The sequence below is a fragment of the Homo sapiens genome, chromosome 9 (genome assembly GCF_000001405.40).
Source record: "Homo sapiens chromosome 9, GRCh38.p14 Primary Assembly".
Lineage (NCBI taxonomy): Eukaryota > Metazoa > Chordata > Mammalia > Primates > Hominidae > Homo > Homo sapiens.
Window position 1 is genome coordinate 70,848,075 of NC_000009.12, and position 24,347 is coordinate 70,872,421.

Genomic DNA, 24,347 nt, shown 5'->3' on the forward strand with positions numbered 1-24,347 from the left:
AGATACAGGCTATAAGATAACTGTTAATATGTTAAAAAGCATAAATGAGATGACTGAGTATAAGAGTCAGGAGTAAGAAACTAAAAAATGACATATACGTGCATATATATACATCTGAAAAGAACCAAACAGAACTTCTAGTAATTAAAATGTAATAATTAAATGAAAATTAAAATGGATAAGTTAAATTAAATATTAGATATAATGATAATAGATCCAGAAGATAAATGAGATGCAGCCAGGAAAACAAAGGATTTGAAAACATGAAAGGAAAATAAAGGAGCTTGGAGGAGATAATCAGAATTATAGGTAGAAGTAAAAGAGATGATGGGGAGGAGGCAATATTGGAAGAAATATTGGCTGAGTATTCCTCGGAATTATAGAAAGATACCAATTCTAACATGCAGAAAGTTCAGTGAATTCTAAGCAGGATAAATGAAAAGAAACCTCACTTACATACACATCACATGTAACACCAAAGGGAGGGGAAATTCCTCAGAAGTGGCTGGAAATAAAGACAGATCATGTACAAAGAATAGTCATTAGACTGAAGACCTACTCCTCAACAGCAACAATAGACACCTGAAGCCAAAACCTTCCATGTGTCAAAAGAAATTACCTGGCCGGGCGCGGTGGCTCACGCCTGTAATCCCAGCACTTTGGGAGGCCGAGGCGGGCGGATCACGAGGTCAGGAGATCGAGACCATCCTGGCTAACACGGTGAAACCCCGTCTCTACTAAAAATACAAAAAATTAGCCGGGCGTGGTAGCGGGCGCCTGTAGTCCCAGCTACTCGGGAGGCTGAGGCAGGAGAATGGCTTGAACCCGGGAGGCGGAGCTTGCAGTGAGCCTAGATCGCGCCACTGCACTCCAGCCTGGGCGACAGAGCGAGACTCCGTCTCAAAAAAAAAAAAAAAAAAAAAAAAAGAAATTACCTGTCAGTCTAGAATTCTACATTCAGCAAAACTATCTTTTAAAAATGAGAGCAGATTATAGATATTTTCATACTGCCAAAACTGACAGAGTTTACTTCTAGGCACCTTCACTGAAGGAAGTTGTTTTTGTTATTGTTTTTGTTTGTTTGTTTTGAGATAGAGTCTTGCACTGTTGCCTGGGCTGGAACACAATGGCATGATCTCGGCTTACTGCAACCTTTGCCTCCTGGGTTCAAGCGATTCTCCTGCCTCAGCCTCCCAAGTAGCTGGGATTACAGGTGCCCACCACCAGGCCCAGCTAATTTTTTTGTATTTTTATTATAGACGGGGTTTCTTCATCTTGTCTAGGCTGGTCTTGAACTCCTGATCTTGTGATCTGCCCACCTCGGCCTCTCAAAGTGCTGGGAGTACAGGCGTGAGCCACCACACCTGGCCTGAAGGAAGTTTTAAAATATATATAGGAAGCAGGACTTATGTGATCCAAAATGGATGATCTGGGTTGTAAGGTAGGAAGATAAACTAAGATATTAGTTAATGTAAGGTAAATCTTAAAAAGTATTGGGTATATAATATAAAATAACATCTAATTTACAGTGGAAAGTGACAGAACTAAAACACTGGACAATACAGCATATAAATGAATGGTAACAATTAGAGTTATGGCATTCTAAAGCCTATGTTGTGTGGGAAAGAAGGGAAAATAATTAATTCTGGAATTTAAGTATGAATGTTAAAGTTGCATAACCACAAAATGAATATGCCTGCATGTAATCATACAAACATATGCTTTTTGATTTATATAAGATTATCCAGGAGATGACAATTTATTGCCATGCTTTCGGGTCTGGAAAACCCCATTGTTTCAAAGCCTCAAAAATTGTTTCTCTATTCTTTCGTTAAAGTATATTTGAAATATATTTAGCTGAAACATGAGGCAAAAGCACGCAGAATATGAAAGCAGCTTAATAAAATAAACCGCACCATCAAGAGATACCAAAGAGCTAAAGTTTCCTGAACATATATATGCCAGAAATCCAAAGTGTTGGCATCCAATACAGTTGTTTCTATATTGATTTGATTTATCTAGCAAAAAATGATTCCAGAATACAGAGTAAATGTTGACAATTTTAGGTAAGTACATTATATCACTAGAATTTGACTAGAGTTTACAATATGAAAAATGGCATCTTTTGTGCACCAACTCTCATGCAGAGGGCAAAAACTTTCAGATATCTATCAACAGAAATTTTCACCAATGTGTACTTTTGTGCCACACAAGGAGCATTCAGGCAGAAGAGGGGGTACTGGAGTATCAGAGGCAAACAGAGGAATTTCTTAAGTAAAAGTTTCTGTTAAAAATCTTCATTGAGAGTCTCTTTATAAGAGACATATTTATAATGAATGCTATAAAATAAAAGAATAAAGAAAAGAATAAATAAATAAAGGGGCAGAAGAACACTTTGGAGGTGTTGGGTAAGTTTATGGCCTTGATTGTGCTGATTTCCCAGGTATATTCTTATCTCCAAACTCATCAAGTTGCATATACTAATTATGTTCAGCTTGTTGCATGCCAATCATACCTCAGTAAAGTGGTTTAAGATAAAGATGAAATAATAACATTTTTTCTGTGCCTGTACACTGCTACTTGAGTAGTGTGGTTTAGCGACTTGAATAGTTAAAATTTGGGTGTTCTGCTGAATTGAATTTATTTCATTTTGACTAATTCCAGAACAGATTATTTAGTAAAATAAAGTAGAACTGGGACTTGCAAGGCTTCCAAACTATACAAACCAAGAATGCTTTAGTGTGAGACATGTTAAGAAATTGCTTTTCAAGTTACTGTTCTCTTATTTATCAACTTTAACGTATCACTTTAAAGAACCTCAATTTAATGTGGACTTATGTTCTCCTAAGGTGAGATATAAATTACACTTTTCTTAAACACAGAAAAGCATCTAAAGTATAAAAATACTCCTAAAATTATTTGCCCCTTGCAAGATTTCAGAGTAATTCCTAACATTTCTGAGTTGTTATGATTGTGGCTTTTGGAACCCCAAAATTCTCCATGTAGATCTGCACCTATACATTTCATCTAGCCACTGCGCCACTACACTCCAGCCTGGGCAACAAGAGGGAGACTCTGTCTCCAAAAAACAGAAAAGAAAATCCCGAAAAACAAGAACAACAAAATAACCAGAATACAAGAACCTTGTATATTTATTGTGCACCAGGCACATACATGCTGTGAGATCCAGAGCCATAGTTAGTACCTGGGAATAGATATGCATACATTATTAACTCACATAGTGTGAAGGGAGATTACAATTCATACTAAATTAATACAGATATTGTGTAATAATTTCAGCAAGCTTAACTAGCTAAGTGACATATTATGGAGTTCAATTATTCATACTAATTGGTAATAAATAAATGCATTTTTAGGAATAAGCCTCCCTTGATAGATAATTTACTTTAGGACTTCTATGGTTATACATACAATATAACAGTAAGAAATGAAAAGGGTCTACTTATTGATCAGGTGAGCAGCTCACTGGAAAAGACCAATAGAACTACTGAATATGTTGAAATTCCTTTTGAAGTAACTTAACCCATACAAAGCTGTGTTCATTATCACAGAATGTTTGTTACTCAGCTAGTAAGCAATCAAGAGAGTGAATGAATGAATGACCTAAGAGATCCCCTTGATCCCAGCTCCCCATCTTACAGATGAAGAAAGGGAGACAGTAGGTGAGGTCACACTACTCGTGGGATCTCTTCACATTTTTCTCTCTGCTCACAATTACTTTACTAAGAAAAAAAAATTCCGGCCAGGCGCAGTGACTCACACCTGTAATCCTAGCACTTTGGGAGGCCAAGGCAGGTGGATTACCTGAGGTCAGGAGTTCAAGAGCAGCCTGGCCAACATGGTGAAACCCCATCTCTACTAAAAATACAAAAAATTCACTGGGTGCAGTGGCGCGCACCTGTAATCCTAGCTACTTGGGAGGCTGAGGCAGAAGAATCACTTGAACCCAGGAGGTGGAGGTTGCGGTGAGCTGAGATCACGCCACTGCACCACTGCACTCCAGCCCGGGCGACAAGAGCAAGACTCTATCTCCAAAAAAAAAAAAAAAAAAAAAAAAAAAGAGAGAAAAAAAATCCCAAAAAACAAGAACAACAAAATAACCAGAATACAAGAACCTTGTGTATTTACTGTGCACCAGGCACATGCATGCTGCGTGTTCTACTTGTACCTTCTCACATACTCCTCCCAACAACAGGGATGTTGGTTTCACCCACGTTTTACCGATGGGAACAGAAAGAATCCATCATGTTCTCAAGTTCACTATGCTAGTATGGGAGTGCTCACAGCCCAGGTCTGACTCCAGGGCCCTTTCTCTTTACCTCAAAGGTGTAAATGGCTCTGTGTCTCTGTACTTCTCCTTTTCCTTTACCTATGACCAATCAGTCTCCAAATTCTAATGGTCCACTTATCAAAACAGTGCTGTCAACCAGTTCCTTTTCTCTATTTCTTCAGTTGCCATTTTAAGAATGTATTCTTACTAGGATGTCCATTTGAATTACAGCAACAGCCTCCTACTGACTTCTTTATGAGACACCAACAGGCAGATTTCTTTCTCCAGTCCCTTTTGGACCATATTATTTCTCAATTAAAATTCTTCCATCAGATGTAAACTCCCCATTCTTGCCCTCAGCATCCCCTATAACTTGACATAATCTTGCCAATTCTGAGGCTTTCCTCACTTCTCCCTGCATTTGGCCAGCACTGCTCCCCTCTAAGTCCTAGATAATGCAATCTCTCCCCTTTCATCTACAGAAAGCATTCTCATCTATCAAAGGCCTTTGTTTCATCCAACGTGACTTTTCCTGAGAATGCAAGTTCAGGTTGATGCAATATAACTCTTAATCAAACCCAGTGTGATATATATATATTTTTTTCTGGTTGTTTTTCCCATGGGTCAATTTTATCTCCCTATGTTGCAAGAGCTTTGAGGGGAGAGACTGTGTTTGACCTGACCATGTCTTTTTCTCTTTAGTAAGGCTTTCAGCACTGGCTATGAAGTAGTCACTGTCTTGGAAAGAAAACAGAGTTTAGAGATATCTTGGCAATCATGGGACTCTTCAAAAGAATCTGTTCCATTCTTTTGCTTTTCAAATGAGGATACAGAGACCCAGGGAAGGTGAGTGACTGGAATATCAGAGCTAGTTATTCAACAATCCTTTAATTCATTATTGAAGCTACTGTTAACACTGGTGGCTCTAGATGGGGCTGTTCTTCTCTAATTTTAATGTGCACAGAACTTACCTGGGGACCTTGTCAAAAATATAGGCTCTGATTCAATACATCTGGGGTAGGGCTTGGGCCTCTGCATTTCTAACCAGCTCCTCAGGTACCACATGAGCAGCAAGAATGATAACTTTTCCCCAGACCAAACATCCCAAATGATGTGTTTTGTGTTTGCTATTTGGTCAAAGAAAGAGCGCTCAGTATTTTACATGGATATCCAAAGGAAGATTTAGGAAGTACTGGAAGAATTAGTAAGGCCACAATAAATATGAAAATGGAGCAATTGACAAGCTACTCAAAGTATCCTCAATTACCTAACCTCTTTTGACCAGTACTAATTCTTACACAAAGGAACATTTGGTTAACTGTAGAACACACCTAATTATCTAGAATCATGCAAGTAGCACAAACAACGGGTGGCTCTGGCCCTTGGATGTTGCCCGTTATTTGTGATTTATTGTGCCCTTCTCTTGAGAATAAAAGATAAGATATAAATAAAGCATTTAAGTGAATTAATTTGGTACTTTTTTCATGTTTGGTTGTCACCATTTAGCAACACAGGTACATGTTTTTGTAGATAAGAAGATAATTAAAACCGAGGGATAAAACACTTTGAGATTATCTGAGGATTTTCATTTTCAAATGATATTCCTATGCTCATAAAGATCAGTTCCTTTTGTAAGCTCTCCAGGTGCTTTAATACAGCAGTTAACTCATGTGCCGACTCAGCAGCTCCACGCTCATAAATGGACGTGCCCAGAGCAATTAATCAATTCCTATTAAGTAGTCAATATGATTTGAAATTAGGAGCTATTTTGGTTGTCAAGATCAGCAATTTTGACTGTCACTTGTGAGTCTATTAATTGCAAAGGGCTCACCTTACAAATAACAAGAAGTCTTCCTAATGAGCATGCTCAGTTTTGTCCCCTGAGCATTACTCTGATGTGGTGCTCCCATTTACAGATATTTCAGACATAAGCAGCATGATACTTGAGTGTCAGATAGTGGCATTGCAAGTCCTTTGGCAATTTGAGCATCCTCTGTTGTTAAACAGGGGTGATCCTGACGACCTCACAGGACACTGTGTGGATTAAATTGTGGCACATACCAGGTATGGCGGAAAAACTAATAAATGCAAATTGAATGAAGGTCACATTCACCTTATATATGGCCCCTGGGTATAACAGGTCCAAGTAACTTGCCTTTAGCTCTTTAGTATGCCTTTCAAAATAACTTTTTCTTTTTCACCTTGGAGTTATCTGGGGAGTGATTGGTGCAGGTGTTTATCTTTCTAAAAGCACCTGTTTGGGCTATCCAATCCTTTCTTTATCCATGGCCTTTAGTTCCCCAATTTATCATTTCAAGAGATAAACTGGGCTCGAATAAGTTACTCATGGCTGGAATTACCTATCTCTTCTCTTTCTGTCATTAGCGTCACTGCCTGGCAGCAGGAAGGCCCTGTGATGTGCTAATGACAATCAGAATAACATCTCAAGAATGTTCTGTATGAACTAGAGGCTAGTTCTAGTTGAAATTGTACTTTTTGATCTACTCTTAGTTACCTTGGAGGCCAGTACATCAGCATGATTTTCATGAGAAAATGTATTTTGAGTTCCAAACAACAAATTTAGACATGACATTCTGTGAGACTATAAATAGAAAACTAGAGATTTTCTTTCATTCAAATGGCAGAGGGCATCAGTAACTAAAACTCTCAAGTTTTTGCTCTGCCTGGTGCTAAAGGTCTTTTTGCTTAGCAGGTGACTTATTGCATTTTTTACTAAAGCCTCTCTGACTGCTTTATCATTAGAAATGTTACTATTTGCCTATCAAAGCAGAACTCAACTTTATCATGGCTTCGCTCTGCACTGATTTGGCATCACAAACAAGACAGTCCTTTCCCCTTCATCAAACCCACAGTAGGCAAAGGCTGATTGGTGGGTGGGGCAGCAGCCAAACTGCATAGAACAGACGGGCTGTTTCATTAAGAAAAAATAATAATAATCTTCCTTTGGCATTCTCAATTTGAGTTTTGGCAGAGCAATCTGCCTTTGAAAATTCATCAGTCACCTCTTTAGGGCTAAATTTTAACCCAAGTAAATTTTGCCCAGCTGTTTCAATGAAAATGTAAAGGAACTGCAGAACAATGAATCTGGCTACTCTCTCGGAAATATTAAATGACAGGTCCACCTCCTTCTACTGTAAGGCCATCTTTAATTCTTGGAAGTAATCACCTGGTTTTTGTTACGTAGTGTTCTGAAAAATGGAACTATCATTGCTAAATCTATTCTAACAATATTTTTAATGCCTTTCTTCCAAGCCTCTAGTGGAAAATCTGCCCCATTTTCCTTTCGGTTTGAGAAATGTAACAAGCACCATTTCATTTCCTAACTCTTTGTAGGTACCTTTAAAATGGGCACTTGTAATTAAAGCTGTGGCTGAAGAGAATATGTCGCTTGAGACTACTAAGGCAATTTTGCTAATACCAGCTTTCCAAGTCCATGGGGCCTTGTGCTTTGCATCAAGAGTTTAATGCTTATGATGGTTTAATAGATAAAAAAATATCCTTAGAAAATATTTAGAATCACATTAACTGTCATCAAATCCCTAGTTTGATGACCCACAAAACTCTGGAATTGGAGGTGTTATTGTAATTTATTCCATATTGTTTTTGCAATGTCTTAATATGAGATATCAGGTACTTACAGGGGATGGATGCTGACAAGCCACAACTCAAGGTTTAGAAATAATATAAAACTCCAGTAAGCATATAAACTAGTCATAGGAGGTAGTGTATGAATTTTCTGCCAGAATTATTTAGCATAACATTTTCTAGACGCAAAGATAGGATGGTTTCTTGGATGAGAATTGGTTCTTCCTTCTCTATAGATCTATGATTAGGATCAGAAATATAACTGATAAATTCTAGTTTTATTCTCAGTTTCAGAAAAACCTTCCAAAGGTACTGCCAGTTCAGTGGTCTTCAGATTACAAGGTAGAAACTGAAAATCAATGGAACAATTACAAAACCTCTCAAAACCTTACCGTGTATGTAAAGCTGCTTGGTTAGCCACAGCCTATTGATCAGCTATTTTGTTTTGTGAAGTGGGACTCATTTAATTTCCTACTTGGTGTGTGCCAATCAGTGATGATTCCCAGATAAAATTTGCATATTGCAAAGATAGACAGTTTTTTAAATCTCAAATTCAATCCTAAAGGATATTAAGAGCATAAGCTTGTAGATGTCATGCTGCTGACAGCCTCCCCCTGCCTGTTATCTCCCCCGTAAATCCCCACATTCCCTTTCACCTCACACCCACAACGCCCAGAGAATAAGGCTTTCATCCTCTGGCAGGCTCTATATAGTTAGAGCTTTAAGTGTGAAAATGAGGGCTAGAAATAATTATCTAAATCATATGAAGATTATAATAAGGGGCTCAACCTAATTTAATAGGGAGTGTAAATAGCAAGGGAAAACCTAAAGAGAATTATGTGGGTGACTTGAGAGGTTTAAATATAAGTCCTTAATTAGGTTACACTTATTTACCTGGCCCACAAGTCAGCTCAGCATTAATTGGAAGAGATGACTAGTAAGAAAATAAGATTCTGTCTGTAATCAAGTCCAACACTGCTTCCTTTCCTAAATAATGTAAGGTGTGAGCCCCAGATGTAGAAGAGTCTTTGAGACATGATACTATGTTGGCTGATGGGTCCATCTTCTTGTTGCTCTGTAAAGGGTCCTAGAAAGTTACCTGGATTCCATTCCAGTAAAATAATGCCTAAACCAGAGCTTTTGCCTCTTATTATCTTCTCCCTTTGTCTCTATGTTCTGACATTTATGGGGCATCTGAGTGAACTGCAGGGTCTTCTGGTTGTTCGGGAATAGCTTACCGGGGCTTGCAATTTGGTAGGATGTGGCTTGGTACTTAACAGGAAGTCAGAATCCTTCAGTTCTATCAGCTTTGAACGTCTTCTTCCTGCGTCACAATTTTTCTCTGTCAAGGGCTGGTTTCACTGTGATTTTATGGGGGCTGGTCAAGCCTGGGAACGGAGGACTGAACACTACAAAGTACTCGAAAAGGCACAGAAAATGGTTCTGTGAACCTAGGATGTAAGTTTACGAAGACCCCTTCCTGCTCACAGCTTTTGAGTTTCATCAACCTCATTAAACAATAGTGACTTTATAATTCTAAATTGATGTTTCCTTATCAATAGCTAGAAACATAATAATAATTAGCTTCCTTTCAATTACCCACATATATATTTCCCAACAAAACATCTAATATAGCCTGTGCTAGGTGTATACAACAGAGAAGAAACAGAACTGACAGGAGTCCTGAGGAGGCTGGGTTCAAGAACTATGTTGTTAAATAACTGTGACTCTGGGAAAATAATTTAACTTCTCTAGGCGCAGATTAGTTAGTGTTTTTTAAGCCTGACTGAACAGTAGAATAACCTGAGTAATTTTTTAAAAACTCTGGATGCCCACGGTCTATGCCAGACCAATGAATGAGACTCTCTTGGAAGTAAACCTTGGACATAGGTATTAGTGTGCTTGTCTCAAAAGTTCGCAAGTTGTGAATTGCTGCATCCAATCTCTCAAGTGTCCTTGGTGGCTTAAGCTCTGTGACACATTGCTGTACTGCCTGCATGATAAAACAGACACACAGAGTGCTCCTGAGCAGAGATGTGGCTCACATGGCCTGCAACATTGTAATAATGATTATGATTCTCTTTTTCTCCAACTTTATCCTCTACCCAGACTCCTGCAGAGTGTCTCATATTATGTCCAGACCACACTGGCAACACAAGGGCTTCAACTTGGCTTCAAAAGTTAATAAAAATCAATCTTCCTCTAGAGTTTTTTGACCACTTTGTTAAAAATAATTTCAACTTTCAAGTATTCTTGTTAGAGGCAGGGGACCCAAGGCATATTAAATCAGTTGGCCAATCTGACCTAAATCTTAGTGAAAAATTAACCATGCCTTCCCCATGCAAAGATTGGCACTCTTTAACAGATGGTGGTTGCTGATTTTCCCTTTCTACAAACTGTGTGCCAGTTTGTTTGAGAGGATAAGAGGTAAAGAAGGAACAGGTTGGCACAAAACAATTATCCTGCCAGATAAAATGAGACCTCCGACCTGTGGACAGCTCCACCCCTTTGCCCAGACAGAAGAATCAGAATAATTGAAGGGCAAGTTTTCAAAGTGGACAAAATGCTTATTTATGTCTGGATGAAGAGCTGGAACTTCCACTTGTTAAATATTCGGTAGTAATAAGAAGGTAAATTGGTTCTCATTTGGCTGATTAGACTCAGAAAGAAAGAAAGGTTTACGCTCGTAGGGACAGCTCTGAGGCCATCTAGGGCAGCCATAACCTCCGAGACCTAGCCTCAGAGCCAGCTTTGTGGGCGTGGGACCAATATAGTCACACTATTCAGAAGGCCAGTGCTTAGGGTCCATTGCTGTGCACTTGCTATCTTAAAATTCTTAATAATTTTATCCTTGAATTTGTGTTTAGTAAATGAAGTCCAATGGGACAGTGGAGTCTTGAAGCTTCAGTTCACAGGTGGTCCCTGGTCCTACCTCCTTGCTGCCTCTCCAGGATGGGGAAGGTCAGGGGCGGGTATGTACCTTGCAGCATTTCAGGGTAATGATAAGGGAGCAGCCTTCTCTGTCTTGGGCTGGCAAAACCATGCTGTGCTTCATGGATGACTTGGCAGAAGTTCACCTGCCTTAGATACTAGCCATGTCCCAGTGTAAAGGTGGCAATCCCATGGCAGGGGTCACCCATCCACTGAGAGTTGGGGCTGCCAGCCATCGGAAGGGAGGATTGATTTCTCTGTCCCTGCAAGGACCCTACATTTTAATTTTGTACTGGGTTCCACAAAGTATATAGCTGACCTTGTTTAACCTGATCACCAGCAGACAACTCTAAGTTCCACAGAGCCATGTGGAGCCTCAGGAGGGCTGTCGAAGCCAGTGTCTATATGTGTCCCCTCTGTGGAGCACAATGGAAGATCTATCTGCTTCTTCGAGTCTTTCTTTCCACTGTGAAATATTGTAATATACATACAGTATATATTTGCTCTGCGACATGGAGAAATTAGTTAACTATTAAGGGCTGCAGTAGGTTACTCTGTCATGTAGGAATAACAATACTGCTGTTATAAACATAAAACAAGGTATCATAGTTAAGTACTTGGCACAGTACCAGCGATGTAGTAGATGTTCCATACATTTTAGTTGCTATTATTATTGTGGTTATCATTACTTGCTACAGATTCTGAAAGCAATTGCACAAGTATTTTAATACTAAGAAGGATACACATTTTAATAAAATCGTTTGGAGTCTCAGTCTCCAGAGTTCTTAGGGTCTGTCAAATGCACTACAATTTTCCAGCAGGAGAAAAAGTAATCACAGATAATGAGAAGGGATCTTGGTTTTGTCCCCCGTAATAGCACACCCATGGCAGCTGTTCAATTGTTGAGGTGTAACAGTGTCTCACTTACTGTTTTGCTGGAGTGAGTGGATACAGGAGGTTGACTGAAAGTGGAAATCTAAGTACGTGATGTGGTGATCCACAGACCACAGACCTCTGTCAGTGATGGGCTGGTGTCCTGGACCCACCCTCCTGCCAGTGCCTGTCACCAATGCCATTCACTGGAACAGAGTTGATTGTGGACTTATGCAGCCTGGCACCCCTATGGAAATATTCTAACACATCTTTGGACTCCTGGGAAGTAAAGGAAGCTGTTTCACTACTCTGTCTTTGTTACTTTTATAAGTAGCTATTATTTTCATAAACATCTTGAGCACTAGCTGTATACCAGGTACTTTTAATTTTCTCTCTAATCTTCATAAACATCAAATAAGGCAACTATGCCTGCTTTATAGATAAGAAAACTTGAGGCTCAGCTAAGTTAAATGGTTTAATCAAGACTTTCTAGTTAAACAGTGAGAGAGTGAAGGCTGAGATCCAGTTCTGTCTGACTTCAAGATCATGCATCTTAATCGCAAAGCCTCTCTTTCCGGTACAGTAAGTTAGCTCTTTGTAGGAAGAATACCAACAGAAAATAGTTGCTCAGCTTTAACACCAGACAAGATTCTAAGTGCTTAACATGAATTGACTCATTTAATTCTAGAGACAGCCATATGAAGGAGGAATTACTATCCTCATTTTACAAGTGAGGAAACTGAGGCAGTAGGAAGCTAAGTAAACTGTCACAAAGCCCATTAATGACAGTCAGGCTGTAAATAAAATGCAGTGTGCCTTCAGATGCTGTGGTCAACCAGTAGGCTAAGGGGTGAGAACTTCTGGAATAATTTTAAAACATTAACTGAAAAAGTGTAATTTGGCTTTCTAAAATAAAATATAAGATATGTGCATCCAAATGAGTGTCTTTCGAAGTATTTAGTCAAAATGTTTTTGCAATTTCTTTCAGAGACTGAAGCAAATAATAGTGATGATAGTATTAATAATATTAATAGCAGCTAGATTAATTTTATATCTATTGTGTGCTCAGCACTGTGTCAAATCCTTTACATAAGTCATCCCGTTTAATGCTTATGACAGTAATACCAACCATTTATACAACAGAATACAATTACTGAGGCTCAGAAAATTTAAGTAATTTTCTCCATGTCATAGCATTATATGATGGTTCTGGGTTAAACTTGTGTTATCTAAATCCACAATCTACATTCTTCGCTTCTAACCTCCTAATACTGATACTTCACTACTAACACTCCATTTTTAAAAGGTATTTTTTAACGGTAAAAAACTTTATCTTCATAGAATAGACTGGACTTGTAAAAAACAGTAGAAGTTACTTGTGACTAAGCTCTAGGTTTTATGAATTTCAGGTACTTCTGATTCATTTTCCATTAAAACTATCATTTGATGAAAATACAGACTGCTTTTCTCTTGTAATCTATAAATTGTCGGGAATCACTCCCCAAAAGACAGATGAGTGCACATTTGGACAATGGCAGCATCATGGTCATCAGAGTCTCCTAAGGTGACAACTTTGAGGGATGCTCTCACTTACAAGCCTATTGGTGCTCCATATCTGACACTAACTCTTAACAGTGGAAATGATGACCAGAGGCTTATCATATGCCTACTGGGCTAATGACACGAGGCTTGCAGGCAGTATTCAAGCATCCTGTGAAGGCACTGGGTGTACCACTCTACAATGATTATTGCCCAGCAAGCCACATCCTCATTTACAGCACTTTTCTTACAGGGACAACTCGCATGACTTTTAACACGTGGTTTCAGAGAATCTACATTGTATGTGGGTCAATCCCATACTGTGAACAGTGACTGTACTGAATTGGGGACAGTTAATAATCTTGTGTGGGCAAATGCATCTCTTAAGTGAGTAAGGAAGTTGACAGATTTCCATTTCCCTTAGTTTTGCATAGGCCAAGACTACTTAACTCATTCTTTGTTTTCCCAAGCCTTGCTGGAGGTTGCAAATAGCACATTTTTCTTTCTAAAATATCGTTCAGAAATGGTTTTAATATACAGTTCAGAATTATATTTCATAGAAAAGAAGTGTTAAAATAGCTCAGTCAGCCATTCGTGGTAAAGAAATTACTGCAGTGGCGGGGGTGGGGGGCAGGGAAAGGGGAAGAGGAGAGAGACAGGGAAGGGAGAGGTAAGAAAAGAGAAGAAAGAGGTGGCTTTATTGCACAGTTTTAGACTGCCATTCATGTGAGGTGACTTCCCTTGTGGTCTGTAGTATGCTTCTTTTAGCAAAATTTCTTCTCCAGACTCAAAAAACTCCATGACACGCCTAAGAACAGACATCTCCTGCTCCACCCTCAGCTAGTTTTCTCTCTTATAACAGTTAGAAGCAAGCTTGTTGGACAATAGCATCTAGAATTTTCATAACACATGCTAGACAAATTCTGTCAGCTAACTAGGAAGTGGCCCATGATGAAAGGTGAAATTTAAAAGCAAAAACTCTTAGAAGTAACATTTGCATATTTCCTAAAGTCTCCCCAACTCAAAAAATGCTTTTTATGTGGAATCTTCTAATGAGAACATTATTGAGCACAGATGCTTGGAGAAAAAGCACTTAATTTCGATGGCAATATTTCTCTTAGAACAAGGAAAGAAATAGGTGGAGTTAATCATTTCTACTTTGAATTAAGAGAAATGCTAGTTACCAACAGAATAAAACAGAAGTCTAAAGAGCAACACATTCTCACCAAAGGGATAAAAAAAGGAGTTAGAAAAATATGTCTTAATGGATGAGACCCAGAAAATGACATAATAAACAGTGAATAACTATAGAAAGCTATTTTAAAATGATTAATAATAAGAGTCACTGTGTCTGTAATTATTTAAAAGTCACTAATTACTTTAAAAATCCCAGGAGGAAAGTTTTCTTTTTCCTGTTTTATAGAAGAAGGGTTGAGACACACAGGGGCAGGGGACTCAGAGCAGGTCACCTCATCAGACAGTGGCAGAGTGGAGATTAGGCCCAAAGACTAAATTTCATGCTCTTAACCACCCCTTTGCAGGACTTGAGACTTGAGATAGCATTTGGGAGCAACTGAATGGCTTTCTGATTACCATGGCTTTGTTGGAATGGCCACCTCCTTGGAACTCAATGGTCCCAAAAGCATCCGTAGGGCTGAGTTGAGTGTGTTTGCTGATGGACCACTTTTCAGACTGGATGTCATTTCGGGAGAGGCGACTTTCATTTTTCTCATTCTGAAGCACGGAGATACTGGGGGTGAGGCCAACATGCTGGCCTATCAGACGCCCACAGCAACACCTATAACAGAAGAGGTTAAAGTGAACCCCTGGTATTAGTCACTATTGGGATACACACTTAAGGCAACCAGCTGGAGAAATCTATAGTCTGTGCCAACACCTGTCAGTCAATTCTCAGGAAGAATTCCACCATGTGGCTATATCAGGTATTGGTAAACTCAGGCTTTCCATGATATACATATCTTTTCTTTTCTCCCCTCTACCCATTTTCCTTTAGCTGTATAAGTTGTAATATGTCTCCTGCCCTTCTCCGTCCACCTCTTTTGTACCTGGCATTTTGTTCAGGATTGGACATCTGCAAACAAAACTTCTCTGGATTTCTCTACTTCTCACTCAGCCCATCTATCAAATCTATCAAAGCACGAAGGTCTCTGAAGAGCTTTGAGGAGGAGAAGTTTAACATGCACATTTAAATGAGGAATCTCACTTCTTTGTGAATCACAACTGAACTTGTCTCTTCCCAATTGACATTTGCTGTCAAATATCCAATTCTGAGAATAAAAATCTGCAGGCTTAAGTGTTCTTGACGAAACAATGAAAAATATTCATGAGATATTTGAAAACTTAAACTTTGCTCTATCATGAAAATGTCCTTCATACATTACTATTACTACCTTTATGACTATTAGTCATAATAGTTACAATATGTAGCTGCCATTTATTAAAAACTAACAATTTAGCATCCATTGTATAGATGAAATATTGTAGTTTTGAAGGTTAGGTAATTTGCGCAAGGTTACACGGATAGTCTCTAAGACTCTGTAGTCTATATTTTAAACTGATCTGTTGAATTGCCCATTCATAAGGGCATTTCAGACATATATATGCTACTTTATCCCAAATGCTTCTTATCTTATATATTGTTGATCCTAAGGAAGGTAAGTAGGGTGCTAACAAAGTGCTTAAATGGGAATCTGAAGGTATACAGTTTAGTTAGGAATCTGCTAGGAGTCTTTTATTTAAGTGTCTCCTTTTTTCCTATTGCAGAACGTGTTGGTACTAACTAAGCATTTGGAGGAGGTACTTAAAAGGAAAAACCAATAACCATAACAAAAAACATAATCCACTGTTATATACAGTGATTAATTCCTTCCACAATGGTATATATGTTTTTCTTTATCGGCTCTTAGAGTAAGAATTAATTGTAGAAATGACATATTATATAGTGTGTATAAATAAGATTGCCTCAAAGATGTCCAGAAACAATATAAAAGATATTTAATTTGACAGTGTTTCCCTTGTAACAGGTCATGATTACTCTTGCAGGTTTTTTGTATAATTACTACTTCATGTTCTCAACATTATAGACAGCAAGATTACCTATGGGGGTCTTTGGTGCTGGGTATGATGTGGACACATTCTCTTTTATAAAATGCTCTTTCTATCCAGGATTTCTGAGCCTGAAAAAGAAAACAAAAAAAAAAAAAAAAGAAAAAAGAAAGAAAGGTGAACATACCGTGAAATATTTTTAACTAGAAAGCAAAATTTCATAATCACATAAGAGACTAGTATATCACAAATTGAACTGAAATTGTGATTATTTCACACATAAACACTAAATATAACAAAATCAATTACTTCCCGTACCTGCTGATTAGATTATTTAACATCACAATATTGAGAATTAAAGGAACTGACCATAATAAAAAAAAGTTAGTGATGGAATCATGTACAAATTCAGAACAGAAAGACAATGCTATTTGCAGAGAAAATAAATTTGGAGGGATAGAATAGTATGTTTGTAACCTTATAGAAAACAAGTATTCAGTAGTGGGAAGAAATGCATCTAAATAAGCATAAGGTTTTCACAGCTGACACTTCCATTAGATTTTCCTTGTAGAAGGAAAGAAAAATGGCAAGAGAATTGCATAACTCAAAAGCCCTAATGTATCACTATGCTTTTTTCTAATTAACAGTGCTAAGTACAGGGGGGTTGGGGGGGGGGAGGAAAATAAAAGCATGAGGAAGATAAATGCTTTTATCATAGTCCAAAATTTTACAGGTAATGCCTTTGGAAAAAAGTAAGATAGCACATTTTTTCTTGTGCGCCCCACACGCCCTTCAGCAGAGCATATACAGCTTCTTAGAATGGGCTCTGTTGGGTCCATCCACCCAGAAGTCCTGCCACTGAGATTGGGTTCCCATGTGGACAAAGGATGTCTCGGAAAACTGTACAATCTCTGTTCCAAAGCAGTTGTCCATCCTGCATCCCTTCATAGTTTTCTTTACCAGCATTTGCAATGGCAGCGGAGTCTCCCATGAAATTCAATGAGCTGCTCAGAGGATTCCTTCTCTAAGCCTTTAAGATGGAAGTTGCTAGAGCAACATTTAATGTTATTTCTACATGGCATCATCTTCTCTCTAATGCAGCATCAGTACTAAATTCATACTCTTATATACAGGGCTAAAGCACAACTGAGCTGTTGATTTGACCTGTCTCAATGGTGTTAACTGTTATAAGCCCCCATGTGTTGAACCATAATTAATCTTGACTCTGCCAATGACTCAGATGTCTATAAGCTGTGCTAAATTCTGGTTGGTCCTCAGTACTTCAGTCTTGCACCTCCCTCTTCTCTCACAAGGGAGGTTTAGGCAAGCATGTGGCACCGAAGGCAGTAATTGCCTAATACTCGTGACAGTGCACATTTTACAAGGAGCAACATGAGCCATGGTTGAGGGGCACAAAGAAACTGCATCCTGTTTCAGTAATGGTGAATATCAGATGGAATCATTTCTGGGTGTTCATGCATTGTCCACATGAAAAGAGCACCCACCGTGCCTCAGAGACCCTCAGGTCCAGGTGGGCCTCTGCATTCTCACACCACAAAGGTAACATTTGCAGTTTTGCCTTTCAGCTAAACATGAAAAATTCCCAATGTCTAGTCTCAAATATTTTTCTTTTCAAACAAGTAGAAAAGGCTAGTGGCTACCTCTTTGTAACAAAAATGAGCTTAGCAGCGTAGACAGCCAGTCTTTTTCTTTGTAAAAAGCCTGTTCGCTAAACTATTCATAGGCCATGATTTTTCTCCAGACACTGAATACTTTCATTGATAATATCTCTTGGCAGAAAGAGGGTAAAATGCTCTTCACTGGACATTTGAAACCAACTTTTCCTACACTTTAGAGAGCAAAAAAGGAGAATTTACTTTCCTTCTCTTTTTGTGTTCAACTTTGGCCAACATTCAGAAGGCTCTTTTGTGGGGGAGCATCTGGGAATTTTAGAGAGTGCTGACCAATACTCCCTGAGAAAAAGTGGGACAACCTTGACCATGGGTAGAGCATGAGGTCTGCATTTAGAAAAAATGGTGTGAGTGGGACACTGTGACCTGGAGAAAGTTACATGATTTCTTTGATCCTCAGTTTTCCTCATCTATAAAATGGAGACAACAGCAATACCTGCAACACAGCATTGTTGTCATGATTTTGGGGGTACTATGCTTTGCTCCAAGAAGAGAGACCTGTCCAGGGTTGATTCTGGTACTAAAAGTTCAGATGAAGGCTCAGATGAGGGGACTATGAAATTGGTCTCCCTTTGTGTTGGGGATGATAGGAACCCACAAGCCCTGGCTGGCCACTAACAAGATATATAGGAAGCTTATTTAACATTTTGGAACCTCTTCTATGTCACATGGATAATTCCAGCTACTTTGAAGAGTTGTTGGGATAATCAAACCAGATGATTCAGATAAAGCACCTGGCTTTATCTGACTCTGTGAGGAAAGTACTACTTTTATATCCATTTTTCCAGTGAAGAAATTGAGGCAGAGAGATGCAGCAATACATTCTAAAGCCAGGGTTTGAACTTGAACAGTCTGGCTTCAGAGTTCACACTCTTACCCACTCTGCTAAATTGCCATTAAAACATTAGATGTTATTGATATGAAATACCCTTGTTATGGGCAGTACTATCTAAGCATGCCCAGGAGTATCCTGGCATTTGGACAGAGCTGGCTCCCAGAGACAGGTCTTGGAACCAGTTCATCCTAATTCTTTCCCCCTATCATTCCCCTCTTCTAGTCCCCACATGCGCAGGAATGAATACTCTGCTATGTCTTCTTCTTTTCTCCTTGCGGTAAAGGATGAAGGTAGGACATTAGGAAGACACCAGAATCTGAGAAATGGCTATACAGCAAAGAAATGTAAGCACAAGACTCCTCACTTAAGAATCTGTGCTGCAAAGACAAATGGATGAGACTTTTCAAGGACACCTTCCTTATTTCTCTTGCTCATGGATCCCATTGTTAACCTGGAAAGCACTGGAAGTTTTAGTCAGATGATGGGTGGTAAGAATTCCTACATATGGATTGCCAGCTAGTTAGCGTTTCAGTAAAAAAGTAATTTAATTTGTGTGTAGCTTTGCTACTTAATTACCTTCTCAAAGGTGAAACGCTACATCATTGTTAGCAAAAAGACTGAGAATCGTTTCTATATCTTATTATTAGCAGATTAATCATCTCCCTTGCAAAGTCACAGAAAATTGGGAGGAAAACAAAAGAGAAACAGAACATTAAGAAGTCTTCCCATCATTCATGATTAAATTGGATTTTTTCATTGAGTAGAAAAGTATAAGACACAATAGAAAGAATGCAGGTATAACACATGAATTAGGAATTCTCCAATATATCATGCATAATTACTATATTGTGAGCTTCGCTTTATCATGCTTTTATTCAGGTCTTTAGTGTGAACATCATATATTAGATTTTTAAATTTATTTTATTGGAGAGGGCATTTTGACGTTTAATACTGGTTTGTTTCCTAAACAAATTCCTTTTCTTTGTTTGAAGGTTTTGAACTACTCTATATGAAGCTTTATATTTTGCTTCAACATCCAACTCAGTTATCTCAGAATAGTTATCCTCATTGTTAGAAAGCATGAAATAGTTTCGATGTGCTGTGTTTCTAGCTGACCCTTCAATTCTTCTTTAATACAAAACTTTAACAGACATCATGTCTTAAAATCTTTTCTTTTTAAATATGCTTTGGAAGTCTCATGCACGCTTAGAAAAGATGGCTTCTATGGCCCCCAGAAAACCTCTCTGTATATTCTTTTCTAAAGGTAGAATGGTCACATAACCATGACTGAGTTTGTGAAGGGCTGGTTATTTTCTTTCTTGTCTTTCTGCATTATCAGTCATGTGTGATGTGTAATAGGGAAGTGTTTTTCAAAGGCTAATAATTAAAAGACATCATATTCAAGACAGAAATGAGGACACTCACATTGAACAAAGTATAATGATTACCCTCAAAGAATAAAGCAACTACTAATTTTGAAAGTTAAATATACAGTCAATAAAGCATCAAAATAATAAAAACAAGTCTGTAAATATTGCTTTAAAAAATTAAGTCATTTCATTTAAGCAGGATTCAATGTTTTTCACAAAGTCTTTGCTACAAATGTTAGTCCCCAAACTACTTTGAATCTTCTTACTATGTCCTCCCCACCAGCTATCGAATCAAGTTCTCCAGGCAGGAAGATTTACAAGCACATACACACACACAGGGTATATTAAACCCATTTCCAAAAAGCCTTGGAAAGTGCTATTGCAATCTCCTCTTCAGCAGGGCAGCTTAACAGAAGGACAACCACTCAGACCAGTATTTGCAAGATTAGGAAAAAGGGTCCACTAACTTTATAGGAACAAATTACAAGAAAAGTTTCACAATGCTTCTCATTGTCACCCTCTCTTGTTTCAAATGTATACCCTGTCTTCATCAGAACAAACATCCCCAACCCAAAGGTACTAAATTCATAAGTTCGTTTTGCCCTTTCCCTCCAAGCCTCCCTCGGTGTTGATCTTTGGTCTTCCTCTAGGTCCCCAGATCCAATATTGAGAAGTTGAACAAGAGAAAAGTTAGCTGAAATCATTTTACCTGAGCACTGATTCTGGGTACTGGCAAAAGCAGTCCCCGGAGCAGCTCCTGTTGCTTTCATTTTGCTGCAGCTAGGGCTGGTCATTCCGTTAATAATGCTCTTATGACCGCCCACTGGAAAAAAAAAGTCACTTGTTCGGCTCTTCCCCCAAGAGACGTTTCAAGTAAGCAATGAACTTGGGCAGATTAGCCCCTTGGAATGTGCTGCTTCGGGATTAGCCTCACTAAGAATCCCATGGACATTCCCTCCCAGCCCTCAAACACTGCTTGATTTGAACATCTAATCTGACGCCAGAAGAAAAACAAATCCCCGGAGAGATCGGATTTAACTGGCACAGGTCCTAACAGGCTCCCCCGCCCTCCCTCCCTTTTTCTTTTTCCATTTTCAGAGAGAAAGCTTGTGAAAGTGTGATAAGGTGTTCTGAGTTCTGAAAGTTCAACTTTGGAAAGCAAATCCTTCTAAAGAAACAGTGTATGAATGATCCTAGTGGTTGGAGCACACAAGCGGCATTGTTCCACCATCCCCAAAGAATGGAATGGTAGCATTTCTTTAAAGAGAAACTGCTAAAATCTCTGAATGTTTCAGTAGAATATTTTGGTCCCTGAACATGGGCCTAAGAAGAATGAAGTTGGAGTTTGTCGGGGACCTTCGAGAACTTCTAAAATGTCAATAATAAAACTTCTCCGATCATACTTCTTATCCTGCTGCCCCTCTAGCAATTGCAAATGTATGATTAGAAACCTACAGTCCTGCTTCCTTATTAAAAAGAGGTGAGCTGTGACCACGGTGGCCTATGGATGCAGATCAAAAGTTGTGATGCCCTGATATGTTTATTTGGGGTGGCCCAATGGAGAGATTCCAGCTGGTATTCAGTCACATAGAAAGGGCTCTTTCATATATCATCCAAGAGTGAATATTTTAGATAATAGTATTCTTGATTGGATAAGTGAACAAACTGGGAGATAAAAGAGCTTAAATTTCAAGAAGGCAAAAATACTTTTTAAAAAGTGAGTATATGAGCACTTCATCTCCAAAGGACTTTTCTCTTCCCAAACACAGAAATAAGTGCTAAGAGATGGCACTCTTCCCTTTTCTTGTGGATGGTAAATCTGTGAGGGCAATGGGGCTTTGGTTTTCATTTTTCCGTAATCCTCTGTTAATGCGCCTAGTACGTGTCATGTGGACACTCAATAAGCATAATACTGGGAAACGAATGACTTATTTCAAACTTGAATTCGGTCCTGAGCCATCTTTTTAGCCCTCTGCTCTTTCCAGGGTCAATCTTCTTCAAACTCCCACATTTTCTGGTCTGTAACTTGCAAGGTTTCCCCAGAGAAAGAAACAATAAACTACCTAGTGACTTTCAGTTGGGGAAACATTATGATAAATAAGAACCAAATGAAACATCAAACTTAGTTTTAGCTTTAAACACATGATGGAGGAAGTCCCTTTGCCTGTCTTCAGGAGTTGGCTACAGAATAACACTTGGTGACAGCCTTAATGACATATATAAACTTGCTTCTCTGCAGCTGTAACACTCCCAAGCACTTATTCCAAAGGAATCATCAGAGATGTGAGCACACAGAGATGTTCACTGCAGTGTTATTTATAATACAGAAAAAGTGGAAACAAATGAAGTCTATCAACAGGAGATGAATCAAATAAACAGTATTTCATGCCATTTGGTGGTGATAATCAGGTTTCAAAAGACTGCTTAATTACGTAGAGAAATAAACATTTTCATGTTGCTATGTGAAAAAAGCAGGCCATAAAACAGTAAGGGTGGAAAAATTATAAATTTTAAATAGATACAGAGGTGATAGGTAGGAAACATTTTTAAGGTGGTAACTATGTAGCTAATTTTTATTCTATTCTTTTTGCTTTTCCATGTTTTCCAAAGTTTTCTCCTGTAACCATATGTTTATAGTCAGAAAACTATATTTTATATAGTCAGAAAATATTTTTTTTCAACTGTCAAGCTTAACCATATGATAATAGGAGGTTATTACGGATGAGTATCTCAGGAAGAGACAAAGCAAGGAGAATTAAGTAAAAAGATAGAGGGATCAGTGGGGAAGATTTGGAAAAGAAAGTTTTATAATGTGGAGGGTGAGTTTTCTAGAGAAACAAAGGGAGAAGAGGAGGAAAGTGGGGGAAATGAGAAGGTGGGAGCTGAGTGGGTGGGCAGGGAAACACCTGAAAGATACACTGAGCTAGTAGGCTGTAGTGGGTCTGTGAGACTAAATAAATTGATTGTAGATAATATTCTCAATGTAAGAAATATTTTAACAGTTCATCTTTTTCAACTTCCTTCTTCACTAGATACTACTCCAACCCTTCATCTGAATTACTTTAAACACTGAGTTACATGTATACGGAGTCTTTAAATATTGCTTATGTATTTTTTTACCCGATTCTCTCCAGTCTTACTTGTTTTTGTCTTGTTTTCCCTTTATAAAGATAAATAACTATTCAATAGAGAATAGAATAAGAGGAGCTTTCCATGAACTTTAACCAAAAACAAAAATATTGCTGCCAGAACCCTGGGCATTTTGCTTAAGTGAAAAAGGAAGTCCCAGGTGAGCACAGCAACTTTTTCATGTGAGGTTGTAGATTATCTTTAGGACCCTTTGATTTAAGAAGGTAATTAGCTCCAAAGAGACTTGTAGCTCTAGGCCACACTGTCCATATAGATCTGCATAAAATCTTGTGCATCACCTGACAATGCAACTCCCAACAGGGTATATTATCAACCTGTTTCAGATGTAGTTTAGAGTGAATGTAATTTGAATACTAACAAGAGAAAACCACAAGGGTAATGCTTACTGTGCTTCTTCCTCACTCTTTTCTTTATGCAATGGCAGATACCTTATTCTTCCCATTCATTGTTAAAGAAAAATCACACCTGAAGATAAAATACTAAAAAGTTTCTACTGGTACACAACTCCGTTTTGAAAAAGTGAAATCAGATTTTCTACCATCAGTAACGAGATTTTAACATGGAAAATGCATATTTCATTATTATAAAGATGTCCAAAGCAGTATTTTTCTGGGATGTTCGCATTTGACAACCGCATCAACTAAAGAGCATGATATAAAGTAGTGGTTAGCAAACGTTTTCTGCTAAGGGCCAGATGGTACATATTTTAGGCTCTTTGAGGGCGATACAGTCTCTGCAGTAATATTCAACTCTTGTTGTAGCATAAGAACTCCCATAAACAACAAGTAAACAAATGAGCATGGTTTTGTTCCAATAAAACAGGTAGTAGGCTGGAACTGGCCCTGGTCAACCCTTGGTATAGAAAAAAGGGGTGTGAGTGGTGAGGTGTCAAGCAGGAAGGAGTAGTAGTGGTCTTAATAGACAGGCTTTCATGGCACCATCACTAGTTTGCCTTTGCTCTTTCTCAAGCATGTCAGGCAAGATCTCCTTGAGAG

The 24,347-nt window shown here is 38.5% G+C and overlaps 1 protein-coding gene across 23 annotated transcripts in view, besides 1 other annotated feature; it reads right to left on the reverse strand.

Moving 5' to 3' along the window:
* TRPM3 (transient receptor potential cation channel subfamily M member 3) overlaps window positions 1–24,347 on the reverse strand; it is a 917,912-nt gene that overhangs the window by 319,015 nt on the left and 574,550 nt on the right. For 14 of the 23 annotated variants that reach the window (NM_001366143.2, NM_001366141.2, NM_001366142.2 and 11 more), the window contains exons 2-3: window positions 16,358–16,437; window positions 14,834–15,038 (exon numbers count right to left, since the gene is read on the reverse strand). In NM_001366143.2, the coding sequence (NP_001353072.1) occupies window positions 14,834–15,038; window positions 16,358–16,437 (285 nt within the window). Of the gene's footprint in view, window positions 1–14,833; window positions 15,039–16,357; window positions 16,438–20,911; window positions 20,979–24,347 lie in introns of those variants that run through there. The other 9 variants (NM_206944.5, NM_020952.6, NM_206945.5 and 6 more) reach the window with 1 other exon arrangement.
* Window positions 20,939–21,233: a silencer, noted in NCBI's record as "tiled region #13756; HepG2 Repressive non-DNase unmatched - State 3:PromF, and K562 Repressive non-DNase unmatched - State 24:Quies". NCBI's record gives its function as "represses a minimal TATA promoter and a strong SV40 promoter by Sharpr-MPRA in HepG2 and K562 cells {active_cell/tissue: HepG2 | K562}" and the evidence as "EXISTENCE:reporter gene assay evidence [ECO:0000049][PMID:27701403]".